This window comes from Homo sapiens, chromosome 17 (assembly GCF_000001405.40).
Source record: "Homo sapiens chromosome 17, GRCh38.p14 Primary Assembly".
In the NCBI taxonomy this organism is placed as follows: Eukaryota; Metazoa; Chordata; class Mammalia; order Primates; family Hominidae; genus Homo; species Homo sapiens.
Window position 1 is genome coordinate 4,609,526 of NC_000017.11, and position 20,919 is coordinate 4,630,444.

General features: G+C 46.4%; 2 long non-coding RNA genes and 1 pseudogene across 2 annotated transcripts; 1 reads left to right on the top strand and 2 right to left on the bottom strand.

Annotated features, from left to right (window-relative positions):
* Window positions 1-923: 923 nt before the first annotated feature.
* On the top strand, window positions 924-8,122 carry LINC01996 (long intergenic non-protein coding RNA 1996). Its single transcript, NR_145431.1, has 2 exons — window positions 924-1,308; window positions 7,238-8,122. It is a non-coding gene; the product is annotated as a long intergenic non-protein coding RNA 1996 (long non-coding RNA).
* LOC105371498 (uncharacterized) lies at window positions 7,476-20,385 on the bottom strand. Its single transcript, XR_001752766.3, has 3 exons — window positions 20,295-20,385; window positions 18,138-18,282; window positions 7,476-7,538 (listed from the first exon to the last, which is right to left on the bottom strand). It is a non-coding gene; the product is annotated as an uncharacterized LOC105371498 (long non-coding RNA).
* On the bottom strand, window positions 10,224-10,327 carry RNU6-955P (RNA, U6 small nuclear 955, pseudogene; annotated as a pseudogene).
* Window positions 20,386-20,919: the final 534 nt, after the last annotated feature.

Here is a 20,919-nt window from a genome sequence, read left to right on the forward strand (position 1 = left end):
ATGTTCCCCATTTGTGAGACCCAATTTCATCTTGCTTTCTACCCTGGTATGGAGGAATTCACATCTTTTTTCCCCTTTCCCGAGAGAATTATTTCTTGGAGCTGCTCATAAGAGTCTTCTGTTTTTCCAGATAGATTCCTTCACCTGGATTTTGTTAAACTTATTAAGTCGGACCAAATTGGCTTGTGTGTTTCCCTGAAGTGAACGTTTCACCAGAGCCACGATGGGTTTTAGCTTTTCTGATAGCTGATGGATATTTTTCAAGGCAAGCGAGAGCCTATAAGCACTTTCTGAATATGACAGAGCACATGCTGGTGAGAGGAGACCGCACAGGCCAGGTGTTTGGGGAACAGTTTGTTAAAGCCAATGAATTTCGCAAATGTGCTAGATGATGAAGAGTTCTCAGCTTTCCCGGTTGCAGTGATCAGAACTCTGTAACTGGAGACCGGTGTGAGAGAAGATTTTATTCTCTGCCATCATGACCGGGTCTATACGACTGCAGGCAATTGCACAGAAGACTAGAAATGCTGATTCAGTTGGTCAGTTTGGGGTGGGACATCTTACCAGTCCAGCAGAACCAACTCTGGCTTGGGTTTTTCTAGCTGGTGACAGGTGACCAACTCATTCTGATGAGTTGATTACGCCTGTGGACGTGGCCCACTTGATTTATTTTTTCTCCCTCTGTTAGCTGTGCTCTCCCAACCACCTGATAAATGGACCCAGTATGATTATTTCTGAGCCATCTTATCTCTCTCACTTTTAAAGCTTGGATTGGGTTTGCTTTTAGAGCTTTTGATCTCTTATCTCTTGGTTCTTGGACTTGCTTTGATACCAAACAGCCCTCATAGTCTTTTGAAAGAACACCTTAAAAATTCCTAGGCTGGGCGCGGTGGCTCATGCCTGTAGTCCTAGCACTTTGGGAGGCCGAGACAGGACAAATATTTGAGCTCTGGAGTTTGAGACCAGCCTGGGCAACAGAGTGAGACTCTGTCTCTACAGAAAGTTTTAAAATTAGCCAGGTGTAGTGACACATGCTTGTAGTCCCCATTACTTGGAAGGCCAAGGCGGGAGGATGGCTTGAGCCTGGGAGGTCAAGGCATCAGTGAGCGATGGTTGTGCCACTGCCTGGAGATAGAGTGAGACCCTGTCTCAAAAAAGAAAGAAAGAAAGAAAGAAAAATCCCTAAGACCTGACCTGCCTACTCCCTAGAAAGCACCAAATAAGGAAAAGCACTCCGGAAGAATGAAGCTAAGAAGGCTGTGCTCTCTGAGGCATCCGGGCAGCCTTCACTGGAGGGACAAGGTCCAGGTAGGTGGGATGACAAGCTGGGAAGGGGCCCTGAACCAGAGGCAGGTGATGTGGGTGGTGGCACCAGAGAGACACCAGACAGTGTTACCGTAGGTCTTGACTGTCCACCTTCATTCCTGAAGTTGATCCAGCTTTCTTACTGTCACGTAGGTGGATATAAAATCGATCTTTAGGGTTCTGATTTTTTGTTTGTTTTTGTTTTTTTTGAGACGGAGTCTCACTCTGTCACCCAGGCTGGAGTGCAGTGGCACAATCTTGGCTCACTGCAACCTCCACCTCCCAGGTTCAAGCGATTCTCGTGCCTCAGCCTCCTGTGTAGCTGGATGTACAGGCGCCCGCCACCATGCCAGGCTAATTTTTGTATTTTTAGTACAGACGGGGTTTCACCATGTTGGTCAGGCTGGTCTCGAACTCCTGACCTCAAGTGATCCGCCTGCCTTGGCCTCCCAAAGTGCTGGGATTACAGGCATGAGCCACTGCGCCCGGCCGGGGATCTGAGTTTTAATCACTCCCAGTGCAAGCGTCCTTATCTGGTTTGCAGACTGAGTGGCATTTGTGCTGCCGAGGCTCTTCCTGGCTTGCCCTCCTCTCTGGCTGTTGCTTTCCCTCCTCTGTTCATTAGAGCCTCCTCTCCTCGGCTTGTTGCTCCTATGTGCTGTGACCTAAGCTCTATGCTCCTTCTTCTACATTAGGGTTCATAGCCCAGGACTTTGGGGAGTCTGTGGATGTCCAAATTGAGTGTTTTACCTCAATTTGGTTGAGGTTGCAGTGAGCCGAGATTGAGCCATTGCACTCCAGCCTGGGCAACAAGAGTGAAACTCTGTCTCAAAAAATTGTATTTCTGGCCGGGCGCGGTGGCTCACGCCTGTAATCCCAGCACTTTGGGAGGCCGAGGCAGACGAATCACGAGGTCAGGGGATCGAGACCATCCTGGCTAGTACGGTGAAACCCCCGTCTCTACTAAAAATACAAAAAATTAGCTGGGCGTGGTGGCGGGCGCCTGTAGTCCCAGCTACTCAGGAGGCTGAGGCAGGAGAATGGCGTGAACCCGGGAGGAGCTTGCAGTGAGCGGAGATCGTGCCACTGCACTCCAGCCTGGGCGACAGAGCGAGACTCCATCTCAAAAAAAAAAAAAACATATATTTCTTTGATGTTTACTGGCTGGCATTCTTCTGTAAAGAAAGTCTTTCCCTCCCTCCAACTCAGTTTTTGAGTGTTCCTGGAGGCCCATGGATTTTTTTTTTTAATTCAATGTGTTGTAATCGCTTACTGTTATAATTTTTTTTGATGCTCAAACTGTTCAGAGGGAGAAGACAGCTCTTGTGTCTTTTTGCCATATTCCCATGGTTCTTTGAGCATTTTATTTTCTTTTACTTTTTTGAGACAGAGTCTCACTCTGTTGCCCAGGCTGGAGTGCAGTGGCGTGATCTCAGCTCACTACAACCTCCACCTCCCAGGTTCAAGCGATTCTCGTGCCTCAGCCTCCTGAGTAGCTGGAACTACAGGCATAAGCCACCACGCCTGGCTAATTTTTATATTTTTAGTAGAGACGGGGTTTCACCATGTTGGCCAGGCTGGTCTTGAACTCCTGACCTCAGGTGATCTGCCCACCTCGGCCTCCCAAAGTGCTGGGATTACAGGCGTGAGCCACCGTGCCCGGCCTTTGGGCACATTCTTGCTTTCTGGCACAAGGCGCTCCAGACTGACCTTTTACTTTCCTTGCCCCAACTGTGGAATCAGTCATTTATTCAGATCCTGGTCTCTTGTGGTGGAGAATTTTTATTTCCCAATGAAGGTCCAGGGACTTGGTGTGCCGGTTTTGCTGGGTGTCCTGCTTCTAGGCCCTTGCAGTGAACAGAGCTAAGATGTTTTAGAAGAGCCTGCAAGTATACTGAAACCTCCAGCTTCAATTCAGCACCACAGGCCTCATCTGTACATTAGTCCCTATTTTTCCTTTTTTCAAACCATCCTGATTCCCAACAATTTCAATACACTTACGGATTTCTTCTGTACCGCAATGTCCAAATTCTGAAACAGTAGTTTCCGAATTCTTAAACTGATGTCACTGCCAACAACAAACCCACCAAGTAAGGTTTGGGATTTCCCTTCAGCCCCTTTCCCCACCTTTGGGTATATTCCCTAAGGGTGCACAGGGTGCTGGATTCAAAAGTTACTTGAGGCTGGGCACGGTGGCTCACGCCTGTAATCCCAGCACTCTGGGAGGCCGAGGCAGGCGGATCACTTGAGGCCAGGAGTTCAAGACCAGCCTGGCCAACATAGCGAAACCCTGTCTCTACTAAAAATACAAAAATTAGCCGGGCATGGTGGTACATGCCTGTAATCCCAGCTACTAGGGAGGCTGAGGCAGGAGAATTGCTTGAACCAGGACCTGGGAGGCGGAGGTTGCAGTGAGCCAAGACCACGCCACTGCACTCCAGCACACGAAGTGACAGAGTGAGACCCTGTTTCAAAAAAAAAAAAAAAGAAATAAAAGTTACTTGAATTATTTTCTCTTGGAAACCATGTTATGAATTTGATATGCATGAGGTTGACTTGATTCTGTTTGTATTCAATTAAAGGTTTGTTTCCATCATTTTTATTTTCTTTTTTTGACTATGTAAATACTTCACCTAGGTCAAAAGTCAAAACTCTACAAAAAGGTATATTCCCATTCCCATTCCTCCATCTGTTCCCACCCTTAGTCTCTGTTTTCTCCTCCTTGCCTGTCTTCTCCCTTCCTCCTTTTCTTTTTACCTTCCTTCCACAACAATAAGCAGGTATATATCTATCATTTCACAGAGATCCTTCTCGTCCTTTTTTTCTTTTTCTTTTTCTTTTTTTGAGATGGAGACTTGCTCTGGAGTGCAGTGGTGCAATCTCAGCTCACTGCAACCTCCACCTCTTAGGTTCAAGCGATTCTCCTGCCTCAGCCTCCCAAGTAGCTGGGACCACAGACACCCGCCACCACGCCTGGCTAATTTTTGTATTTTTGATAGAGACGGGGTTTCACCATGTTGGCCAGGCTGGTCTCGAACTCCTGACCTCAGATGATCCGCCTGCCTTGGCCTCCCAGGGAAGTGCTGGGATTACAGGTGTGAGCCACTGCGCCCGGCTGATCCTCCTCCTCTTTAAAAAAGCCCTGCATAGGCCAGGCACGGTGGCTCATGATGCCTGTAATCTTAGCACTTTGGGAGGCCGAGGTGGGTGGATTAACTGAGCTCAGGAGTTCGAAACCACTCTGGGTAACACGGTGAAACCCCGTCTCTACTAAAATACAAAAAATTAGCTGGGTGTGGCAGTGTGCGCCTGTAATCCCAGCTACTTGGGAGGCTGAGACAGGAGAGTCGCTTGAACCCTGGAGGCGAAGGTTGCAGTGAGCCGAGATAGCACCATTGCACTCCAGCCTGGGCAACAGAGCAAGACTCCATCTCAAAAAAAAAAATGCCTGTATAGCCCTCCACTGTGCTAGCTGATCACTTGTTCAGCCCATCTCCGAGGCAGGGATATCTTGGGTTTTTTTCCAGTATTTTGCTATTACAAACAGGACTGCGGTGAGCAGCCTTGGGTGTATGCTGTTTTGCATTTGTGAGGGTGGATCTTCAGGGTTAGTTCCCAGGATTGAGATTGCTGGGTTCAAGGGTAAATGCATATTTTGTTAGACATTGCCCAAATCTCCTCTGTTTTGCAGTCTCACCAGACACATGAGAATGCTTGCTTTTCCCCAACAGCGAGTGCTGTCAGGTTTTTGAATTTTTAGGAGACAGATGGTTTCAGTGTAGTTTAAATGTGAATTTCTCTTATGAGTGAAGATGAGCATATTTTCATGTTTACAGGAGACTTGTATATCTTGTTCTAAGAACTCTTCTGTCTTTATTCATTTTTCTATTTTTTCACTTGATTTTTTCTTTTAAGACAAAGTTTCGCTCTCGTCACCCAGGCTGGAGTGCAATGGCACGATCTTAGCTCACCGCAACCTCCACCTCCCGGGTTCAAGCAATTCTCCTGCCTCAGCCTCCTGAGTAGCTGGGATTACAGGCATGCGCCACCACACCCGGCTAATTTTGGTACTTTTTTGGTAGAGACGGGGTTTCTCCATGTTGGCCAGGCTGGTCTCGAACTCCCGACCTCAGGTGATCCACCCGCCTTGGCCTCCCAAAGTGCTGGGATTACAGGCGTGAGCCACTGTGTCTGGCTTTTTCACTTGATTTTTAAGAACGTGTGTGTGTGTGCGCGCATGTGTGTGTGTGTCAGAGTCTCACTCCCATTGCCCAGGCTGGAGTGCAGTGGCATGATCTCGGCTCTCAGCCTCTTCCTCCTGGTTTCAAGCGGTTCTCCTGCCTCGGCCTCCCAAGTAGCTGGGATTACAGGTGTGCACCACCACGCCCAGCTAATTTTTGTATTTTCTGTAGAGACGGGGTTTCACCATGTTGGCCAAGCTGGTCTCAAACTCCTGACCTCAAGTGATCCGCCTGCCTCAGCCTCCCAAAGTGTTGGGATTGTAGGCGTGAGCCACCACACCCAGCCAATAACTTTTTCTATATTAGAAAGATTTCTGGGCTGGGCACAGTGACTCACATCTGTAATCTCAGCAATTTGGGAGGCCAAGCTGGGAGGATTGCTTGAGTCCAGGAGTTCAAGACCAGCCTGGGCAACATAGTGAGACCCCCCCCATCTCTATAAAAAGTTTAAAAATTAGCCAAGCATAGTGGTATGCACCTGTAGTCCTAGCTACTCTGGAGGCTGAGGCAGAAGGATTGCTTCAGCCCGGGAGGGCAAGGCTGCAGTGAGCTGTAATTGCCCATTGCACTCCAGCCTGGGTAACAAAGTGAGACCCTGTCTCAAAAAAATAAATAAATAAAAGATTTCTGTATCTCTCTATCCCAGCTCTCTCCACCCACTCTGCCTGTAACCTGACCTAGCTCATGTCACTTCTCACTTGGATTAGAACAACTACCTCCTAAAACTGGTTTCCAGGCCTCACTCTTGTCCTTCTCTAATCCATTGTCCATATTGGAACTAGAATGATCTTAAAATGCACATCTGATCATGTCACCACCTCCAGTGACTGGATTCCTGTTGTCCTTGGGATAAGCAGTTTCTTAGCGGAGCACTGGGGACCACCTCCCCTGGCCGTGTGCTCTGTCCTCTTTTGCCTTCACAGCTTCTTTTCGAAGAGCTGTATGTGGTAACAGAACGAGGGGCTTTGTGAAATTACGCTGGCAGCAGAAATGAGCAGACCTGGTTTCTTAGGTCAGCTACATTGTCTCATTGTCTAAACACCATTTCCTTGGTGAGGCTTCATCAACATCCCACCATCATCTCTGTTCCCGGGGCACCGTGAACTTCATCCTGTCACTCACAGCTCCTGTTTTATCACTAGACTATAAGCTCCCTGAGGGCAGAGCATGCGCCTGCTTCCCTACTGGATCTAGCAGGTGCTCCAGCAGTACTTTTTTTTTTTTTTTTTTTTTTTGAGACGGAGTCTCACTCTGTCGACCAGGCTGGAGTGCAGTGGTGCGATCTCAGCTCACTGAGATCGGCAAGCTCCGCCTCCCGGGTTCACACCATTCTCCTGCCTCAGCCTCCCAAGTAGCTGGGACTACAGGTGCCCGCCACCACGCCCAGCTAACTTTTTTGTATTTTTAGTAGAGACAGGGTTTCACCTGTTAGCCAGGATGCTCTCAATCTCCTGACCTCGTGATCCGCCCGCCTTGGCCTCCCAAAGTGCTAGGATTATAGGCGTGAACCGCCGCACCTGGCCTCCATCAGTATTTCTTAATGGATGGCTTGTACTGTGGAGTCGACAGGTTGTTTGGTGCCAAGTAAATACAGGAGGAATGGAATGAAAGAATGAGTGGTTCAGCCCAAGCTCCTCAAGGTTAAGTGCTTACTTTCAGAATTAATCAGGTGCCATTGAATTTCTTTCCAGTGGGACCTTCTTACTCAAGATGGCTTCAATTCCAATCACCAGAGAGTTTTGAGAACCAGTGGGAGGGGTTCCTGGGCAGCGGGGCTCTGCTCCTACCGGGATTTGTTTATTCAGCTGATGTTAATAAATGAAGCTGAAGGTAACAAGCTGTCACTTAGCATCTCCAGGCTGGACCAGAACTGCCATTGGTTAAGTTTCAGACTTCAGCCCCAAAGTACAGTGTCACCACCTTGGATGAAGGATATTAATTAGTGTCATGAGGGAGATCACAGTCTCATTCCCCTCCGTCACTAGCACGAGACTGAAAAAAAAAAAGAAAATCAAATTCAGTTAGAACAGAGACGTGCTGAGAAGCTGGGCCAGAGACCCCGCGGGGAACCTGCCGTTGTTTGTCAAAAAACGAGGCCAGCGAGGAAGAAGCCAACCATGCCTCCCGCTCCACTCGCTTTGGAACCCACAGAATGTTCAACAGGGCAGCACCTTTCAGTTATTAAGACACTCAGATTCCACCCTGGTGCAGTGAAGCAAACTGGATTAACCACGCGGCACGTGGCAGAGCCACAGCGCAAACCACGGCTCCTGCTGCTGAGGAAAATACAGGCACCTCGGCCACTCTGGGCTGTGGGTTCGACGTGAGCAGCCTCAGGGCAGAGACGGATTCTGTTCATGTCTGTCCCCTCTGCCATCCCAGGTCTCAGGGGTTCTGTTCACCTGACCATGGCAGAGTTGTTTTGCCCACCTGTGAAAACCACTCCAACCATCATGGTTACCATTGCATTGCATGTTGGCAAATTTGGGGAACATCACCTTCCAGGCCACTTACAGCACTCGAATAAGGGCTTTGACAAAACACAAGCGTTATTATGAATATAATAATAATCAGCGTTAGTTGGCTGTCCTGGTGGTTTCTGGTCTGCAGAGGGTTAACAATGATGACAATAACGTTGCCTCCCGGGCTGAGTTTCTCATCTGCTCTATCAGGCCCACCCCCTACTCCGGACTGATTCTCCACATCCCAGATTCATGTCCCCCACCCCCACCACACCAAGGGCAAGAGAAAAACCCGAAGTTCTGCTCAGAACCTTGTCCCCTGCCCCCTACTCCCCTCACTGCAGTTTTCCTGTTAGCCAAGGAATTTCATTCCACAGATCTGTTTGCTTCTTTCTGTTGCTTTAGCCAGCAGGCTTACCCTGACCTGAGAAGGGTGACTAAGGGGAAATGGAGTATTTTCAGCCAGGGGCCATCACAGTTGCTGTATCAAGTATCTTTTCCAGGCAATGGATTTCATGATAGGCGTATCTTTATTCGGGAAAATTAACACACTTAATTTAGAGGGATGGACTTCCCTTCCAGGAACGTTGCCCCCCTCATCTGTCCCCCATGCCACCTGCCGGATCATCTACAGTGACAGCAACCACCATTTTTATCCTGGAGACACCATTAAACCTAAGCCAGGAGGTCTGGCTTGTAGTCTGCACTCCACTTTTGATGAACACGGGAACTCACAGAGCCAGTTTGCTCCTTTGCAATGGGCATGAGACCGGGAGGATCGGGGAGGGGGTTACTGAGCACCTGAGACTCGGGGAGCTGCAGTGGTCCTTGGTGGGAGATCCACAAGGTGAACTGATCGTGTGAATCCGAGCACTCTTTGGAGCCAGAGACACCAAGGAGAAGGCACAGAGGGGAAAGGGGACTGGGCTGGAGTATTTCCTAAAATTGTACTTGCCAGGCCGGGCGCGTTGGCTCACGCCTGTAATCCCAGCACTTTGGGAGGCCGAGGCGGTGGCTCACCTGAGGTCAGGAGTTTGAGACCAGCCTGGCCAACATGGTGAAACCCCGTCTTGACTAAAAATGCAAAAAAATTAGCCGGGCGTGGTGGCACATGCCTATAATCCCAGCTACTCAGGAGGCTGAGGCAGGAGAATCTCTTGAACCCAGAAGGCAGAGGTTGCAGTGAGGTGAGATCGCGCCATTGCACTACAGCCTGGGTGACAAGAGCAAAACTCCGTCACACACACAGACACACAAAAATTGCGTTTGCTATAGGGATGGGGCTATTTTTTATTTTTTAACTTTTTAAATTTTTGTGGGTTTTTTTTTTTTTTTTGAGATGGAGTTTTGCTCATGTCACCCAGGCTGGAGTGCAATGGCACAACCTAGGCTCACTGCAACCTCCGCCTCCCGGGTTCAAGTGATTCTCCTGCCTCGGTCTCCCAAGTAGCTGGGATTACAGGCACCCACGACCAAACCCGGCTAATTTTTTTGTATTTTTAGTAGAGATGGGGTGTCACCATGTTGGATAGGCTGGTCTTCAGCTCCTGACCTCAGATAATCCACCTGCCTCGGCCTCCCAAAGTGCTGGGATTACAGGCGTGAGCCACCACGCCTGGCCTTAATTTTTATTTTTTAACAGACAAGGTCTAGTTCTGTAGCCCAGACTGGAGAGCAGTGGTTCAATCACAGCTCACTGCAGCCTCGAACTCCTGGTCTCAAGCAATCCTCTCACTGTAGCCTCCAGAGTAGCTGGGATTACAGATGCTCACCACCATGCCCAGCAAATTATTTATTTTTATTTATTTATTTATTTATTTTGAGACAGAGTCTCGCTCTGTCACCCAGGCTGGAGTGCAGTGGCACAGTCTCACTGCAAGCTATGCCTCCCGGGTTCACGCCATTCTCCTGCCTCAGCCTCCTGAGTAGCTGGGACTACAGGCACCCCCCCACCACACCCGGCTAATTTTTTGTATTTTTTTTCACTAGAGATGGGGTTCCACTGTGTTGGCCAGGATGGTCTCGATCTCCTGACCTCGTGATCCACCCGCCTCGGCCTCCCAAAGTGCCGGGATTACAGGCGTGAGCCCCGGCGCCCGGCCTAATTTTTATTTTTTAGAGATGGGATCTCACTATGTTGCCCAGACTGGGGGCATTTTTTTTCTCTCATTTTTAAAAATTTTGAGTTAAAAAAAACTTTTTTTTTTTACATAAAAGATATATGGAACACTTCATGAATTCACGTATCACCTTTGCTCAGGGGCTGTGCTAATCTCGGCATCATTCCAATTCTAGCATATGTGCTGCTGAAGTGAGCACTATTCTATCATTTTTAACATCAATTTTATAGAAATGAAATTTACATCCTTTTAAAACAGTTATTTTACCAAGTAATACATGTACACAAATTAAAAAGTCAAATGGAGGCCAGGGACAGTGGCTCATGCCTGTAATCCCAGCACTTTGGGAAGCTGAGAGGGGAGGATCACCTGAGGTCAGGAGTTGGAGACCAGCCTGGCCAGCAGGGTGAAACACCATCTCTACTGAAAACACAAAAATTAGCCGGGCGTGGTGGCGTGGGCCTGTGGTCCCAGCTACTCAGGAGACGGAGGCATGACAATCGCTTGAACCCTGGAGGTGGAAGTTGCAGAGAGCTGAGATTGCACTACTGCACTCCAGCCTGGGCAACAGAGTGAGACCCCGTCTCAAAAAAAAAAAAAAAGTCAAATGGTACTAAAAGCCATATTGAAAAACACTGGCTGGGTGCGGTGGCTGATGCCTGTAATCCCAGCACTTTGGGAGGCCAAGGCGGGCGGATCACAAGGTCAGGAGTTCGAGACCAGCCTGGCCAATATGGTGAAACCCCCACGTCTACTAAAAATACAAAAATTAGCTGAGCGTGGTGGGGGGTGCCTGTAGTCCCAGCTACTCGGGAGGCTGAGGCAGGAAAATAGCTTGAACCTGGGAGACGGAGGTTGCAGTGAGCCTAGGTCGTGCCACTGCATTCCAGCCTGGGCAACAGAGCGAGACTCTGTCAAAAAAAAAAGAAGAGAAAGAAAGAAAGAGAGAGAGAGAGAGGGAGGGAGGCAGGGAGGGAAGAAAGAGAGAGAGAAAGAAAGAAAGAAAAGAAAGAAAGAGAAAGAAAAAGAGAGAGAAAGAACAAAGAAAGAAAAGAAAGAGAAAAAAGAAAGAAAGAAGGAAGGAGAGAGAAAGAGAGAAAGGAAAGAAAGAAAGAAAGAAGAAAGAGAAAGAAATAAAAAAGAAAGAAAGAAGGAAGGAAGGAAGGAGAGAGAAAGAAAGAGAGAAAGAAAGAAAAGAAAGCAAGAAAGAAGAAAGAAAGAAAAACACTAACCCCCTTCCCCCACCATCCCGCTCACCCCGTCTTACTCCTGGGAAGGAACCATCCTTATCTCTTCTATGTATTTCGCTTTGTATTTCTCCCCAGATTTCTGACATTGTCCTACTCTTCTTTCTTGATCCTTTCTTTGTAGGTGCCCATTGATTTCCCACTGTGGGGGCTGGGAACTGGGCCCTGTCCCACTGTGACCCCATCACTTCCTCTGCTCAGTCCTCCCACAATGTGGTCATATCACAACTTTGGTTAAATTGATAGTGTTTTTATTTTAATCACTATGCAAATAATATTCAACTCAAAATGTTCCTCAACTCTTACGGTCTCCCCAAAACCTGCAGAGGTGGTTTTAAAACATATCTGCAGATTCTCGGACTCTCCTCTCATCAAGACAGGGAATCTGATTCCCTCCCGCCTTGCACATGGTGGCTGAACTCTAAGGAACACAGTGCCGCTGAAGTGACGCTGTGTTGCTTCTGACGCAGGTCTCACAGCACGATACAACTTCCCTCTCATTTTAGGACCTGAGCCTTTGGAGCCCTGGACTACCATGCAGGAAGCCACCAGCCACCATGCTGGAGAGATCATGTGCAGAGACCACGTAGAGAGAGGCCCAAGGAGCCCCTCCTAGTCCATCCTTGAGCTCTAAGTGTCTTCTAGTAGACGCACCAGACATGTGAGCGAGGAGGCCTTTGAGATGACTCTAGCCCCAACCACCGAGTGAGACCTGCCTATCTGAGCCCAGTCAACTGCCAGGGTCACCAGAGCTGATAATAATCAATGATTGTTGTTTTATGTCTGTAAATTGACGTTGGTTCAGTAACAGGTGATGGGAACATTGTTCCAACTGTGGTCTCCTCATCTCATTTGACTGCAGCTTCATCCCTCCAGCTGCTCAGGCCATCTTTGATTTCTCTCTTTCTTTCATACCTCGCATTCTGTATGTCAAGGAATATTTGGCTCTGCCTTCAAAATATCCAGAATCCAATCACTTCTCACCACCTCCAATGCTTCCACCCTGGTCCAAGCCACCATCATCCAATGGGGCCATCAGTATGGTCTTTCCCCTGGATCACTGCAGTGGCCTTCTGACTGCAATAGCATCCTACTTCCACCTAGTCCCTCCTACCATTTATTCTCAACACATAGGCAGAATTATTCTGCCAACATGTAAGTCAGATCATGTCACTCTTCGGCACAAAACACTGCAGCAGCTCCCATCTTGCTTACAGTCAATGCCCGAGTCCTCACAATGTCCTGACCCTTCTTGTCTCTCTGACCTCACTGCCTAGTCTCCTGCCCCTCTCCAGTTCTGCCGCAGCCCCACTCTTCTTGTTAGTCCCTGAATGCATTAGGCTCACTTCTACTTTAGGCCCTTTGCATGAGCCATACTCTTCATTTATTCCTGGAATTTATCATTACTTTTTGTTTGTCATTTGCCTATTATTCTATGTGGCAATTGCTCATTTTTTCCCCAAGTGCTTTCATGTTTCTGGATACTATTTTCCGTATCCTCAAATGTGTCATTTTCTTTGATTCCTTGGGTGCCTCACTCCTGGTGCCTGCCATCCTGCTCCCCTCTGGACTGGTAGCTCTCTATCCACTATCATCCTGGCATTTCTCTTCAATGCTGTTCAGCATTGAATCCCATGACTTCTAGTTCCACATTATTTTTTTTAGTTTACTTTCTCATTTTGTGGGTGCACATCCTGCAGTAGCCACTTAAGAGAGGACATACATGTGAGGTAAAATTTGACTCCTTGCATGTCTGAGATGCTTTTATTCCACCTTCCTATTTCATTGATCATCTGGTTACAAGTATTCTCAGCTGAAAATCATTTTCACACAGAAGCTTGAAGGCATTGTTTTCTTTCAGTGTGGCTATTTAGAAGTCCAAGGCTGATACCTGATCTTTCGTATGTTTTTCTCTCTCAGGGAGCTTTAGAAGTCTATTCTTTATTCTGGGTATTCTGAAATTTGTGATGATGCACCTTGGGGTGGGCATTTAGTTGGGCCTCTCAATCTGGAGACTCACATCTTTCAATTTTGTGAAGTGGTATTATTTTTACTCTCACTCTCTCTCCTCTATTTTCTCTTTATAGAATTTCTATTAGCTGGAAATTGGACTTCCTAGAGTGGTCCTCATTCTTATATTTTTTCAATTATTATTATTTTTAAATCTCTGTTTATTTTTGTTCTACTTTATCTTCCACCAAACTTGCTTTTAAATATTTTATTCTTACTCTTCTTTTGAACAATTTCCAAAATTTCATTTTTGTTTTTTCATTAATTCCTTTAAAAGTAACATCCAAAATAGAGAATAAAGCATCTAACTCTTGTTTAATGGATATAACATCTTACTTTACTTTTCTGAAGAAATTATCAGATTTTTTTTTCATTTTTTTTCTACTCCTTCCATCGTCTCTGCTTTCTCCAAATTCCTTTATCCTATTTGTCTGGATCCGTCTCTTCCAAGCTGGAGGCTGTCTTTAAACATTAGGTGATCCTGGGCTGCCTGTTCTTGTCTAAGTGTGACTCACTAAACACAGGAGTGGGAACTCTGAGTGAGTGGGTGAGGCTTGTCCATAGAAGGACTTACAACAAGGTCATTGGATAGCAAACTGGCTTCTTTCTTTTCTTTTTCTTTCTTTCTTTCCTTCCTTCTTTCTTCTTTCTTTTCTTTCTCTCTTTCTCCTTCCTTCCTTCTTTCTTTCTTTCATTCTTTCTTTCTTTCTTTTTATGGGATTTTGCTCTTGTTGCCCAGGCTGGAATGCAATGGTGCAATCTCGGCTCACTGCAACCTCTGCCTCCCCGGTTGAAGTGATTCTCCTGCCTCAGCCTCCTGAGTAGCTGGGATTACAAGCAGGTGCCACCAGGCCTGGCTAATTTTGGTTCTTTTTTTTTTTTTTTTGGTAGAAATGGGGCTTCACCATGTTGGTAAAGCTGGTTGGTAAAGCTGACCTCAGGTGATCCACCTGCCTTGGCCTCCCAAAGTGCTGGGATTACAGGGGTGAGCCACTGCGCCCAGCCCAAACTGGCTTTCAAATTGGGGCAGGACTCCAAGATGTCAGAATGTGGAGGTCTTTTCTCTGGAGCCATTCAGTTATCCAGAGACAATGTGTCAAATCTCCTACTGGCAGTGGGGGTGGGGAGGCAAGCAATGGGTGTAGGAGAGAGCTGGGGTGCACCTGCTGTAGGAGGAGGAAGGGGGTCCATCCTCCCCCTATACAGGCCACGTAGCCCCCCTGTTTTTAGTCCCATGCCTCATGTCCACCTTCTGTAGATTTGGATCTCCCCGTCCTCAGCACCTAGAGTTCTACAAGACCACCCCGCTTCTGCTTATTAGTTTCCTCATCTGCAGGGAGCCAGGTAGTGATCCCCAGCTCTGCCATGTCAGCTCCTGCTCCTCTCCCTTTTCCAGATATTTGTGGGACTCTCTCATCCATGTTCATCTCTTCCCTCATTTTATCTCCTTATGAGTTTATATATTCTTGATTCCTTTATTGCCATTTCAGTGGAGTTTTGGAAGGGGGAAGTGAGCAATCTGCCATGCTTACTCAGAAGTGGGCTGCACTTTAAAAACAAAGTTGGCTGCATTGCTCAAAGATGAGGGAGGGTTTAGGAAAACCAATTCGTGTGCAAGACATGCTTTCTCATGCATATATGTACGCAGGCCTTACATGATGAAACTCCTGTGAGAGGGGCCAGCCTGTGAAATTCCCAGATAGTGAACATAAGCCCCACCTCACTGAATTGCTATGAGGACTAAATGAGCTAACACAAGTAAAATGCTTAGCACAGGGCCTGGCATTTGAATTCTCAAGGGATAGCAGTGATGATTATTCGGATAGTTTTGGGATGAACTTGACTAAGGGCTCTGGGGATTTAGGGGAACTTCTCTCTGTCCTCTTCTGTGGCCTGGAGGAGGAAGCACCTTCTGCAGGCTTCTCCTGGGAACCCCACCAGCTTGTGGATCTCAGAGCTCTTTGGAGTTTGAGAAGGCAATGGGGAAATCCCTCTGGTCTTGGCCACTCTGACACTGCATAATTGGCATAAATGGGGCATCCCAGCTCAGCCTGGAATGTTCTCGTTTCTTGGCATGAACCTGTCTTTTTGCAAACACAGTCACTTTGCGTCTGTCCCATCAGCCGTCTTCCAAAGGTTTCTTCTACCCAGTCCCGCCATACACATCGTTTTCAATATTAAAGTCACTCTTTAATTTGTAACAAAGAGATATGGGTTCTAGTTCTGTCTTTGCCACCAATTGCCTAGAAATAGCTCAAACTTGGGATCTAGATTTGATCTGCCCGGTTTGAATCCCGACTTTGCATCTGCCATCGATGAGCCGTGCGTGTCCCACGGGCAAACACTCAGTCCTCTATGGGCCTTGGTTTAATGAAGATAATAATAGTTCCTAACTCATAGAGCTATCATGGGGCTGAAAGAAATAATCCATGTAAAGCGCCCAGCCTGGTACTCAGAGTTCAGATAAAGCTGGCTGTAAGGATTACTATCTTTCCCAATTTAAACTCTCCCGCAAACTTCGTAGCTCCAGGCACAACTGGAGGTGAGGACTCAGGCATATAAAGCTTTTCCAGGGGCTGAGGCAGAGGAAATGTGATCTCCTGGATTTTGTTTGTAGCTTCTACTAGACCACATAGCAACCGAGCAACATAGCAACGAACGAAAGCAATTCCATTTAATTCCAAGTCAAGCAACTTACTTTTTCAAAAGTATGTCATTCCTACTTGAAAAAACCAATCTTCCTGAGTAGTCATCATGTCATAGAGACAAACACTTTATGGTAAAAATGCGATTTGATTTTGTTTCTGCTCAAACAGGTTCTCATCACAATCTTTTGTTTGTTTGTTTGTTTGTTTGTTTTTTGAGACGGAGTATTGCTCTTGTTGCCCAGGCTGGAGTGCAGTGGCGCGATCTCCGCTCACTGCAACCTCCGCCTCTGGGGTTCAAGCAATTCTCCTGCCTCAGTCTCCCCAGTAGCTGGGATTACAGGCATGCGCCACCAAGCCCGGCTAATTTTTTTGTATTTTTAGCAGAGACGGTGTTTCACCACGTTGGTCAGGCTGGTCTCAAACTCCCAACCTCAGGTGATCCTCCCGCCTCGGCCTCCCAGGGTGCTGAGATTACAGGTGTGAGCCACCGCGCCCGGTGCTCATCACAAATTTTAAAACTGTTCACAAATGTTTTCCTCTGCTCTTCCGAGCCTACTGTTTTATAAACGAGTTACTATACTGCCCTCTCGTGGAACATAATGATTTCTGTGAGTCTAAGTCCGCTTGGATTTTTTTTTTTTTTCTTTTTGAGATGGAGTCTCACTCTGTCACCCAGGCTGGAGTGCAGTGGCACGATCTCAGCTCACTGCAACCTCCACCTCCCGGGTTCAAGTGATTCTCCTGCCTCAGCCTCCTGAGTAGCTGGGATTACAGGCACCTGCCACCATGCCCAGCTAATTTATGTATTTTTAGTAGAGATGGGGTTTCACCATGTTGACCAGGCTGGTCTTGAACTGCTAGCCTCAAGTGATCCACCCGCCTCGGCATCCCAAAGTGCTGGGATTACAGGCATGAGTCACTGCGCCCAGCCATCCTTGCTTAGATTTGAAATAGGACTCCCATTTATAATTTATCATTCATAGTATTAGGCTCATCGGAAAGTATGCTTTATCCACATATTTCACAAAACTCTTTTAAAAATTAATTATGATTTCATTTTCAGTTGTTCGAACTTGGATACTTTATGTTCACTGATTCTGTCTTCCTACAGCGATTCTAGCTGATGGGTATGTCAATTCTGCTCCTCGAGCTTCCTCTGGGTTCAGAGGGCTACTCATAAATTAGTCCACAGCAATTCAGGCATAGTGGGGACAGCAGGCCACAGGCCAATTGTTCTGCAGGGGTTGCGGTTAGAACTCAAGGAAACTGCCTGAAAGCCTCCTTTGTGCCAGCTCCTGTCCAGCCTCACCCTAGCTGGAGGTGCTGATGATCCTAAAGAGGATCACAACATGCCACCCCCAAAATATGCTACCTCGGCAAAAGAATAATTTGAGCTATAGACAATGAAGAAACAACAGATGCAGTAAAAGTTCTCTGTCCTCCCTTATCTGCCTAAATGCAGGACCTAAATTTTGCTTTGAGGAAGATGCCCCTCTGTACCCAGAAGAAAGAGAGTGACTCTTATCACCAGTGACAGGAGTTGCATTGAGAAGAGTCTACATAAACAAACAAATGGAAGAGAGATAACTGTTCTCGTCCATTAATTTCTCCCATATATTCCTAAACACTTTCTTACAGTTTATTACCCCGGAAGCCCAAACATTCTTTTCTTTATTCAGTCACTTCTCTATAACCTATCACCCTTTGCTCAAATAGTATATAATTTCTCAAGTCTAAACACTTATTGGAGTTTTCTACTTCTTTTTGTGAAGCTCCTGTACCCATAAAACATTAACATCCGTAAAATTTGTATCCTTTTTCTCTTGTTAATCTGTGTTCTGTCAGTTTAATTTGCAGGTCCCCAGCAATAGAACATAAGAGAATATGGGATAAAGGTTTCCTCCCCTCTAATCCCAGGTGTGGAGTTGGTCGGCGGAGGGGCAGGAGGAGGGTCAGCAGCCTTCATGCCCCTTTCCAGGAGAGCTTCTTGCAGTTGGTTCGGCTCTTGAAAGTTACTCACCTGCTTCAGCAACTGCAGCTGCTGTACCCGACAAATGGCAAAAGACAAGACACCAACCACACGAGATCCCAGTGCGCACATTACCTGCCTCATCTTGACTTTCAGGTGGCTTTATGTGCCTATGCAGTGTTGCAATGTTAATCCTCAAGGGTGAAATCCAAGCTGGTTTATCCGCAGAGCTACCAGGGCCAGTGGTGATGGTGAGCAACGAGGCACCAAATTTCTTCTCCTAAAATACAGAGGATCTGTTCAACACACTCGCAGTCACAGCACAAAAAGCTATTCTGTATTAGGTCAGCAAAGGAAACCAGTCCAAGTGCAAAGGCAATTTTAGATCTATGTCCTGTTTCCTGTGGAAACGCGAAACTAAAGGGAAGCTCACTGGTAGGACAGAGCGAGCACCCGTGAAGGTGCAGCCTTTTTTAAACTTAAGTTCTGATTCAGCGGCGGGTCCTGCGAATCCATCCTTTAACAAGCATCCCCTGCGGGAGGGGCTCTGATGCAGAGTGTAGGAGGGCTGCCTGTATTCCGAGAAACACTGGATGGTGTCTGCCACGATTCAATAGCAGACATTATTACAGTTATTGGGAGACAACAGGCTGTGCCAAATAGTAAAATAAGAATAAATATATTTACATTTCCCAGGGTTTGGCCCAATCAGACTGCTTGGCTCACATAAATGCCAGCACATAGATATTTGCAAACAATAAACATATGTTTAGCATCCTAAACTCTACTTTGAAATAAAACATTAAGGAAGTCATTATTTATGCAATTAGTAAGCCCATAATTAACACTGAAAACAACAATAATTAACATAATTTTTACTATGCAATACTAATTTTAAAATACCTTTCACAACTCAAGGGATCAGGCAGTTGTTCAAATTTTTGTAGAAGGCCTGGCTTACACCAGCATCCATGACCATCTTCCTTTCTTGGAAACTAGACCTTCAGATCTTATTAATGTGTTTGATAATTTCATCATAAAGAGCAAATACAAATGCGATGTGCAGACATACTCTGCCATAGTGCGAAATCGTTCTTTGTAAAAGTTTGTTCAATACAAACTTTATATGAAAAAAAATTGCCCTTCAAGAAAAAAAAAAAAAGCCCTCAAAAGTTTTTCATGGAAGCCCCTGGTATTTGCATTGGGAAATATGATCCAGTTGAAACATATATTTTTAATTTTTTTGCTCATTAACTTAAAAAAAGATTACTGAATGCCTATTTTGTTACAGATACTCTTCTCAGTGTGGGCCTAGCACCGTCCTTAAAGCAACCTTCAGTGAACATAATATATAGATATATAGATATATAGATATTTTTTTTGAGATGGAGGGTCTCTCTTGTTACCCAGGCTGGAGTGCAATGGCACGATCTCAGCTCACCACAACCTCCACCTCTCGAGTTCAAGCAATTCTGCCTCAGCCTCCCGAGTAGCTGGGATTACAGGCATGCACCACCATGCCCGCCTAATTTTGTATTTTTAGTAGAGATGGGGTTTCTCCACGTTGGTCAGGCTGGTCTTGAACTCCCGGCCTCAGGTGATCCGCCCGCCTTGGTCTCCCAAAGTGCTGGGATTACAGGCGTGAGCCACTGCCCCCAGCCAGGAAATATTATTTTTAAAGTCTGAAATCCAAAATTGCTTTCAAGGTGAATAAAAGGATTTTAAAAGATTGTAATGATTTTATTTCTGTGATGATCATTGAGTGTAAATTTTACATTCTCTATCAGGAAATCCATCTAAGACTTCAATAGAAGTGAAAAAATATATAGTTTTTTAGTCTGTGATTAAGGGGAACTATTTCATGGGATGAGAACTGATATAGGCCAGGCACGGTGGCTCACACCTGGAATCCCAGCACTTTGGGAGGCCGAGGCAGGCGGGTCACCTGAGGTTGAGAGTTCAAAACCAGCCTGGCCAACATGAAATCCCATCTCTACCAAAAATACAAAAAATTAGCTGGGTGTGGTGGCGGGCACCTGTAATCCCAGCTACACGGGAGGCTGAGGCAGGAGAACCCGGGAAGCAGAGGTATCAGTGAGCCAAGATTGCGCCACTGCACTACAGCCTGGGCAACAAAGTGAGACTCCGTCTTAAAAGAAAAATCAGACCAAACATTGCCAGTATGTCTTCTGTAGAATTAAACAGAACCAGAGGCAAGAAGCAACTTTATTCACATTATAAATGAAACACTTTTGTTTTGTGTATACCGTTAGTTTGTTTTAAAATACTCACAGATGATCACATTAAGAAATAAAGGCCGGGTGCGGTGGCTCATGCCTGTAATCCCAGTACTTTGGGAGGCCAAGGCGGGTGGATCACCTGAGGTCAGAAGTTCGAGACCAACTTGGCCAACACAGTGAACCCTTGTCTCTACTAAAAATACAAAAAAATTAGCCGGGCATGGTGGTGGGCACCTGTAATCCCAGCTACTTGGGAGGCTGAGGCAGGAGAATTGCTTGAACCCAGGAGACGGAGGTTGCAGTGAGCTGAGATCGCACCACTGCACTCCAGCCTGGGTGGCAGAGCAAGACTCCGTCTCAAAAAAAAAAAAAAAAAAAAGAAAGAAAATTTCCAAGTTTATTTTCCCCAAATTGTAACATGATACAGAAGTTGAAGTTCATTGAATCCGTTGTTGTACTCATTATGATAATAATGAAATGTTTAGTCTTCTTCCAGTTAATTATATTAACTTGCAGCTTGCCAACTGGTGAACGGCAGATGGGTTAAGACACGGATGCCTCAGGCTGAAGTCCTAAGGCCACGTATCTCCAGCCAGGAGCAGCTTCTTCAGTTCAACCAGCTGACTTTTGTTTCATATTTTCTGCTTGAGCCTTGAAATGAAAATCTTCAAAGTCAA